Source organism: Homo sapiens, chromosome 4, assembly GCF_000001405.40.
Source record: "Homo sapiens chromosome 4, GRCh38.p14 Primary Assembly".
Classification (NCBI taxonomy): domain Eukaryota; kingdom Metazoa; phylum Chordata; class Mammalia; order Primates; family Hominidae; genus Homo; species Homo sapiens.
The window spans coordinates 3,904,410-3,913,365 of record NC_000004.12 but is presented as its reverse complement, the minus strand read 5'-3'; the positions used below and the strand labels follow the sequence as shown (position 1 = coordinate 3,913,365).

At 47.8% G+C, this 8,956-nt stretch overlaps 2 annotated features.

The window, feature by feature from the left end:
- Window positions 3,398–3,898: an enhancer, noted in NCBI's record as "H3K27ac hESC enhancer chr4:3911195-3911695 (GRCh37/hg19 assembly coordinates)". NCBI's record gives its function as "activates a minimal SCP1, AML or CMV promoter by ChIP-STARR-seq in naive H9 embryonic stem cells {active_cell/tissue: H9 hESC(naive)}" and the evidence as "EXISTENCE:reporter gene assay evidence [ECO:0000049][PMID:30033119]".
- Window positions 3,899–4,399: an enhancer, noted in NCBI's record as "H3K27ac hESC enhancer chr4:3910694-3911194 (GRCh37/hg19 assembly coordinates)". NCBI's record gives its function as "activates a minimal SCP1, AML or CMV promoter by ChIP-STARR-seq in naive H9 embryonic stem cells {active_cell/tissue: H9 hESC(naive)}" and the evidence as "EXISTENCE:reporter gene assay evidence [ECO:0000049][PMID:30033119]".

The following is an 8,956-nucleotide window of genomic DNA, read 5'->3' as shown; positions in this document are numbered from 1 at the left end:
GAATGTTAATTAGCTCCTAATGAGTGAATTGGGGGGAACACAATTCAGTCCACAGCAACAACCCTGAGAGATGGGACTCTGGTCCCCTGTTCTGCACTTGAAGCCGGTGGTCAGAGGAGTTGAGCCATTTGCCTGAGGACACCGTGGACAACGGCAGGGCCAGGATTCAGGCTCAGCTAATACAAGGCTTGCACTCCAGCTACTCTGAATTTTGAGGGATGCAACCACCTCCCCATTCTGTTCCTGAGTTGTCTAAATTAGCTTTCCTCCATCCCTTTCTATCCTTTTTTGTGATTATCATTCCCAGAAATCACAGGATAGAGATATTCGTTTAGTGACTGTCTCCTCTGCTAGTGGCTCAGCTCCACAGGGGCAGGTGCTTTGTCATCTTATTTCGTGTGGTGTCCCTGCATCTAGGATGCGGTGCTGGTACAGAACAGGTGCACAGTCAGTAGCTAAGGAACAATTGAATGATGACTGCTGATCTGGGCTTATGAGCTTTTTCCTGTGCCTTATTGTCATCCAATATTTGCTATTTATAAGATGTCAGTTTTTTTTTAATGTAAGGAGTTGATGAGCTGTTATTTGGTTTTATTGAGGGGTGTGTTGGGACATTTCTCTCAGCAAGCCTTGGCCACGCCTCCATATAATGTCCAAGAGAAAGAGTCTCTAAATACACTGTGTTGGATGTTACCTAAATGAAATCACCACAAGAAGCTCGTGACTCAAATCACAGAGGCTCACAAAGCCCTAGTAGAACAGGCGACTCTGAGCTTGCCTGTGGGTTTTCTTGGTGTGTCTGCATCGCTGTGTGGGTGGCCACTCTACAGGTGAGAAGCATGCAGTGCGTGCTCGGGGGTCTGCAGGCCAGTGTGCCGCAGAGGTGCTTGTGGACATCAGGCTGGGCCATTCCGACCTGAACAGGCAGTGGTCAACAGCCAACGTCACACAGTGCTGAGCGCCATCCTCCATGCTGCTGGAGAGAGGTGCCCAGACAACTCTCAGTCGCATCCCCGGCCCCACTGTGGGGATATGACCCACGGGATGAGCTGGGGTCTCTAGGCACCCCCAAAGTAGGAGCAGCTGGGAGCCAAGAGTGTGAGCAGGCAGTTTCCAGCCCAAACCACCCAAATAGGTGGCAAATCGAGTGAATTCAAAAGTGCATTTCCCAGGTCAGGCTGCAAGTAGCTTTGACACAGTAGTGCGGTCCAGTGTACATGGGGACAAAGAGATGAGAAACCAAAATCGAGAGGTTTGTCCCCAGATATTAAAGCACAGAGGCTGGCAGAAGGGAGAGGGAGATGAACAAGTGTTCCTGGTGAAATGTCTCCTGGGGTCATTTGAATGATCTGTGAGATGGCTTCCCCAATATTGAAAAAGCTTCTTAGGCATGTTTGAATTTACTGTCATTTCAATAATACAGACTTACTCCCTGAATTCATTCTAGAATCAAGAACGTGAGTCTGAGGAAGCTCATAGAAAGAAATTGGAAATTAGATAAATGGAAAAGGAGTGGTGTGTGTGTAAGTGTGCATGTGTGTGCACGTGTGCACGTGTGCATGTGTGCACGTGTGTGCTTGTGCATATGTGTGTGCATGTGTGTGCACGTGTGTGCATGCGCATATGTGTGTGCGTGTGCATGTGTATGTGTGTGCACGTCTGTGTATGTGTGCAATTGTGCATGTGCGTCTGTAAGCATGTCCATGCGTGTGTGCATGTGCACATGCGTGCATATGTGTGAGCATGTGTGTGCGAGTGGATGTGTGCATGTGTGTGCGTCTGTGTGTGCATGTTTGTCTCTGTGTGCATGTGTCTGTGTGTGCATGTGTGCGTCTTTATGTGTATATCTTTATGTGTATGTGTGTGCATGTGTGTGCACGTGTGTTTTTGTGTGTGCATGTGTATGTGTGTGCATGTGTGTTTGTGTGTACATGCGTATCTGCGTGTGCACGTTTGCATGTGTGTGCCTGTATGTGCATGAATGTGTATATCTGTGTGTGCATGTGTGCATGTGTGTGTGCATGTATGTGCGTGCATATTGTGCGTATGTGTCTGCATGTGCATGTGTGTTTGCATGTGTGTGCATGCATGTGTATCTCTGTGCATATGTGTATCTGTGTGTGCATGTGTGTATGTATTTGTGTGCCTGTGTGTGCATGTGTCTGTATGCATGTGCATGTGTGTGCCTTCGTGTGTTTGTGTGCATGTGTGTGTACCTGTGTGTGTGCATGTGTGTGCCTGTATGTATGTGTATCTGTATGTGTGTTTGTGTGTGTGTGTGTATCTCTATGTGTGCTTGCATGTGTGTGTGGGTGCATGTGTGTATGCATGCATGTGTGTGCATGCATATGTGCGTGTGTATCTTTGTGTGTAAGTGTGTGTTGGAAGTTCTTAGCAAGGCAGTGTAATAGGTGGCGCGGCATGAACCATTGTCCCTTGGCAGATTGTGCCCCAGGAGACTTATGTATTTAGACAGTCTTGCATGAGAATATGACCTCTCCTACTCCACCAAATTACTGTTTCATTGACATCTGGCTTTGGGTGTTTCCCTCATATGTGCCTGCAGGCATGCCTTTTGTGGCCTAATATTTCCATCGCTGCTCCTGCCCCCTTGGGACAGTGAAAGATATGTCGTCAGCCTCTGGCAGGCCCTGCTGTGGGCTTTTGGGGCACCTTTTGTGGTAAGGGGTAAGGAAGCTGGGCAGAAGGGACAAGCTTGCAGCCTGGGATGTCCTGTGTTGGGAGGCATTATTGTTTCATAAGGGAGGAACTCCAGGGCCACAGACAAGCTCATACTGAAAGAGAAACACAACAACACGCTCCAGAGTCAGAGCTATGTGATTCCCCGACCAGGGAGGACCACTGGAGATCAGCACCACCTTGTCAGGGAGATGTGGATTCGGATGTGTTCCCACGGTCTCCAATCTCTGGTTCCATGACAGAAAGTTTCTGTCACACCCCTAAGTGCTGTCAGACCAGCGCTCGGTATGCTTTGTGCTTTCCTCTGGACAACCATCAGGCCCTGACTGCTGCCTTGATCCTCTCAACCGCTATAGGGCCCCGACAGGGGGAACCCTCGCCATGGCCTCTGGGTGTCTTATCTGGACATGACGAGCTGGAGTGTGTGTTTGCCCCAAGTCAGGATCTAAGAGTGGAAAGGAGCCTTAAAGGCCATAGGACCCCCTTTGGAGGTTCCCAAGGGCATACGGCAGCTGATCAAATGAAAGTCATTCACTCCAGCTGGGGATGAACCAAGGCTAAATTTAAAACAATGCCGGCAATAACACAGTGTGAAGATTCTGTTCAATCACAAGGAAAACTCTGTTTTTCCAGAATACAGAATAGGAAAAGGAGACACAAAAGTATAAAGTAGTCCAAGTGATTCTGGAGAACACTTGACATTCCCTTAGTGTAAAGCCTGGGACCATGGAGAGAGCCCTGGCCTGAGCTTGGGGTCCCAGCCAAGTGGTGGCTTTCCACAAGTGACTTGACTACAACAGGAGGGGTTGGACCAGCTCATCACTAGGATTCCAGATGACCAACATCTGGTGAGTTTGTAACTTCAAACTAGTTGATCCAGATGACTCGGAAGCCTCCTTCCCAGGGACCTGCCAAACATGGCCCATGTTACCCAGCTCTGGCGGCTGCATCTCAGCAGAGTCGATGCAGACTAACCCTAAAGAGTCTCACTTAGCAGGAGGCAGGCCTAGGCCAAGAGGCACCTGGAGTCTTATGAGAGAGAAGCTCTCCTGGCAGGAGAACCCAGACACCCAGCTCCCAGGAGAAGAGGAGAGAGAAAAAATGGGAACTGATTTTATGGAGCCACATCTCCAGGGCGCCAAGCCGAGGGCTCAAATCCATGATTCCCTCCTTTTATGCACTCAGCAAATATTTTCATAATGCCCACTCTGTGCCAGAGATGGCACTGGGGATTTGGCAAAGAACAAGACGGTTCCAGCCCCTGCCCTGAGGGAGCTTGCATTCTAGGTGGAGAGAAAGGATGGCACCCACTCAGCAAGTGACTGAGGATTGTAAGTTGGGCTGTGAAGAAGACATTCAAGATACTCTGAGACTAAATGACAGGGGACCTGGCTAGGCCAAGGCAGGGGGAGGTATCTAGTAGTGCTGGATGAAGAGGGAGGAAAGAACTTTCCAGGCTAACAGAAGAGCACATGCAGAAACACCAGGGTGCGCAGGCATCTGATGCAACAAGAGTGAGGAATGGGAGGCCAGAGCGGGGAGCAGAGAGGAAACGGAAGGTCTCGGGAGTTGAACTTGGGGAGGGTGAAAAGGGCCAGGTCATAGCCGGCTTCCTAGGCTGTGGTCAGGACTTGACTTTTATTAGGATGGTGCAAAAGTAATTGTGATTTCCGCCATTATTTATTTTTTTTTTATCAGAGTCTGTCTTGGTCACCCAGGTTGGAGTGCACTGGTGTGATCTTGGATCACTGCAACCTCCGTCTCCCAGGTTCAAGCCATTTTCCTGCCTCATCCTCCCAAGTAGCTGGGACTACAGGCACATGCCACCACCCCCAGCTAATTTTAATTTTTGTATTTTTAGTAGAGATGGGGTTTCACCATGTTGTCCAGGCTGATCTCAAACTGCTGACCTCAAGTGATCCACCTGCCTCGGTCTCCCAAACTGCTGGAATTACAGGTGTGAGCCACCATGCCCAGCCAATTTCTGCCATTACTTTTAATGGAAACAGCAATTACTTTTGCACCAACCTAATAGCTTAGGAGACGGAAGAGGTCATCTATATGTTTTAAGTCAGACAGTGGTGTGACCCAACGGGTATTTCTAAAAGATTACAGAGGCCATGCAGGAAAGATGGTTTCCATATGGTCTGTGGTTGCTTTTGCACTACTACAGCAGAGCTGTTATATTTGCAACAGAGACCACATGGCCCATAAAGCTGCAATAGTTCCTATCTGGCCATTCACTAGAAGAGGGGGCAAGAGAGCAGGATGGGGCCCAAGTGCCTGCAGGGAAGATGGAGCAGAACAGTGTTTCATCTCTGTTTTTCAGATAATTTCATGAGGTCGAAAGACATCTTAATGAAAGTGAAAGTACAAGGTAGTTACCAGGAGATATTCACACCACATGCCATGTCCCACACCTGCAATCCCAGCTTCACACCAGATGCAATGGCTCACAGCTGTAATCCCAGCACTTGGGGAGGCCAAGGCAGGAGGATCACATTCAGCCAGGAGTTTAAGACCAGCCCGGGCAAAAAAGTCAGACCTCATCTCTACAAGAAAATATAATAAAAAGTTAGCCGGGCATGGTAGTACATGCCTGTAGTCCCAGCTACTCAGGAGGCTGAGGTGACAGGATTGTTTGAGCCCAGAAATTTAAGGCCGCAGCATGCTGTGATTGTGCCACTGCACTCCAGTCTGTGTGAAAAAGGGAGACTCTCTCTCTTTCTCTCTTTCTCGCTCTCTCACACACTCTCTCTCTATATATATATATGTATATATAGATAGTCACAATATATTTGCTGTCAAAGTATTATCATCAAAAGTCTATAGAAAATATACACGTCCTTGGGCTGGGCACAGTGGCTCAATTCTGTAATCTTAACACTTTGGGAAGTTGAGGCGGGTGGATCACCTGAGGTCAGGAGTTCAAGACCAGCTTGGCCAACATGGCAAACCCCATCTCTACCAAAAATACAAAAATTAGCTGGTGTGGTGGCACGCACCTGTAATCTCAGCTACTAAGGAGTCTGAGGCGCAAGAATCGCTCGAACCCGGGAGGCGGAGGTTGCGGTGAGCCCAGATTGTGCCACTGCACTCCAGCCTGTGCAACAGAGTGACACTCCATGAAAACGCAAAACAAAACAAAATAAAACCAAATAAAAAACAACAACAAAAGCAAACAGGCACTTCTGATGCAGGCCGCAACACGGATGAACCTTGAAGACATCATCGTCAGTGAAATAAATAAATCCCAAAAGGATAAACATGCCCAGGCTCAGTGGCTCGCACCTGTAACCCCAGCATTTGGGGAGGTTGAGGCAGGCGGATCACTTCAGGTCTGGAGTTCGAGACCAGCCTGGCCAATATGGTGAAAGCTCGTCTCTATTAAAAATACAAAAATTAGCTGGGCGTGATAGCACACGCCTGTAATCCCAGCTAGTCGGGAGACTGAGACATAAGAATTGCTTGAACCCCCGATGTGGAGGCTGCAGTGAGCCAAAATCATGCCACTGCACTCCAGCCTGGGCGACAGAGAAAGACTCTGTATCTAAAAAAAAAAAAAATTAAACGCGGTATGATTCTACTTATCTATCAAGTGTCTAGAGTAGTTAGACTCCTAGAGTTGCAAACTAGAAAGGTGGCCCCCAGGGGTGGGCGAGAGAGAGGAGTGGAGAGCTTGGTGAATGGGTGCAATTTCCATTTTGAAAAACAAAACTGTTCCGGAGATGATGGCGGTGATGGTTGCTAAACAATGTGAACGTACTTAATGTCATTAAACTGTAAAGTGAAAAAGAGTGGAAACTGTAAATGTTTACACTGGCCATTCTATATGAACTAATATATATTTATAATTTTTCATATTTATACGTGGTATATTTTCCCATAATGAAAGATGAAAATTAAAGCAGTTGGATTTTTAAAAAGAAAAGAAAGAAGTGAATAATACATACCAGCTTTCTCCTGATTAGAGGAAGAGTCCCAAAGCTTCTATGGACAATCATTTTCTCTTCTTGTTCTTGCATGGTGATGAGGAAATCCTTAGAGGTTGGGGAACTTGGGTGATTTTGGCTAATGAGGAGCTCTGTGCCTTGAGCCCCCCAGGCCACAGAACAGTAAATACTCAGTCTGTGCCTCCAGCCCTGCAGTGTGAGGTTGCAGTCCTGTGGGCTCCACAGCCGTCACCTGTATCAGGAGCCTCATGTCTCACCCTGTCTTCTTGCCAGCCTTGAGGATGGAGTCTGAGCATCCATGGTGCACCACGCAGGGAGGACAGTGGACCTGTTCTCTGTGGTCATGGCCCAGGAGAGGGGAAGGGCAGTTCAGTGAGTGTAGGCAAAAGAAAGAGAGATCAGACTCTTACTGTGTCTATGTAGAAAGGAAAGACATAAGAGACTCCAATTTGAGAAAGACCTGTACTTTCAACCATTGCTTTGCTGAGATGTTGTTAATGTGTAGCTTTGCCCCAGCCACTTTGACCCAACCTGAAGCTCACAAAAACATGTGTTGTATGAAATCAAGGTTTAAGGGATCTAGGGCTGTGCAGGACGTGCCTTGTTAACAAGATGTTTCCAAGCAGTATACTTGGTAAAAGTCATCGCCATTCTCTAGTCTCAATAACCCAGGGGCACAATACACTGTGGAAAGCCACAGGGAGCCCTGCCCTTGAAAGCAGCGTATTGTCCAAGGTTTCTCCCCATGTGATAGTCTGAAATGTGGCCTCGTGGGATGAGAAAGACCTGACCGTCCACGAGCCCGACACCCGAAAGGGTCTGTGCTGAGGTGGATTAGTCAAAGAGGAAAGCCTCTTGCAGTTGAGAGAGAAGAAGGCCACTGTCTCCTGCCTGACCCTGGGAAATAAATGTCTCGGTATAAAACCCGATTGTACATTTGTTCAATTCTGAGATGGGGGAAAAACCACCCTATGTTGGGAGGTGAGACATGTTTGCAGCAATGCTGCCTTGTTATTCTTTACTCCACTGAGATGTTTGGGTGGAGAGAAACATCAATCTGGCTTACGTACACGTCCAGTCATAGTACCTTCCCTTGAACTTCATTATGACATAGATTCTATTGCTCACATGTTCGTTGCTGACCTTCTCCTTATTATCATCCTGCCCTCCTACTACATTCCTTTTTGCTAAAATAATAAAAATAATAATCAATAAAAACTGAGGGAACTCAGAGGCCAGTGCTGGTGCAGATCCTTAGTATGCTGAGCGCTTGTCCCCTGGGCTCACTGTCGTTTCTCTGTACTTTGTGTCTGTGTCTTATTTCCTTCCTCAGTGTCTCATCCCACCCAACTAGAAATACCCACAGGTGTGGAGGGCCAGGGCACACCTTCAAGTGAGTGTTGAGGGACGGTCGGGAGCCTTGTTTGGTTTCCTCCTCCTCAGGACAAACAGGAGAGTGCAGTGGGCAGATGGGAGGAGACCAATGTGCAAACTGTCCGCTCAGCAGACTGTGCAGTTTCTGTTCTTGGTTGTGCTGGGGATCTCAGAAATCTTATTCAACACTTTGCTTTCCTCCCCCACTGGTTGTGCTTTTCATAGACATCTCACCCATGATAGCAGGGAATCAGTACCTCTAAACTATTCCCTAAGAACAACAAAAAGATTATGAAGGTGATGATGAGGATAAAGAGGAAGACGACAGACACCATGGCATCATGAACTCTTACTGAGGGCTTCCTAAAGGCCAGGCTCTGAGCTCTGTGCTCTATGCAGCCTGTTTCATTTCATCTGCGTAGTCTCCACGTTATTAGTGCACATTTCAGGATGATTTTACAGACTAGAAAAGGAGCAACACCTTTTCATATAACTCGTACTAGATCATGAAGTCAAAAAGGGTGAAGTCCAATTTGAACCAGACAGTCTAAGTGCAGACACATGGCATTTGGCCAGTCCTCTCCCTGTAACCAACCTGCCCTCTCAAATCCTCGTCACTCAGGCGGATGCCCCTGCTCACTGTGCCCTTCCCTTTGGGGGTTCCTTGTAGACCACAGCTAGACCAGTGGGTGCCAGAATCACTGTGTCAAGTATGGAAAGGGCAGCTGAGATCACATCGAGGATTCCAGAAAGAATTGGCACAGGATCATTCGGGACGCATCTCTCCCTTGCCCCTGTTCCTGGCTTTCCTTACAGCTCTCGACTTCCTCCAAGGAGTCATCAATTCGGAGTTTGGCTTCCATTCCTACTGAGGAAGCTGGAAAGCATTTCAAAAATGCTCCTCCGATGTGCCTGTGGTTAAGACCTCT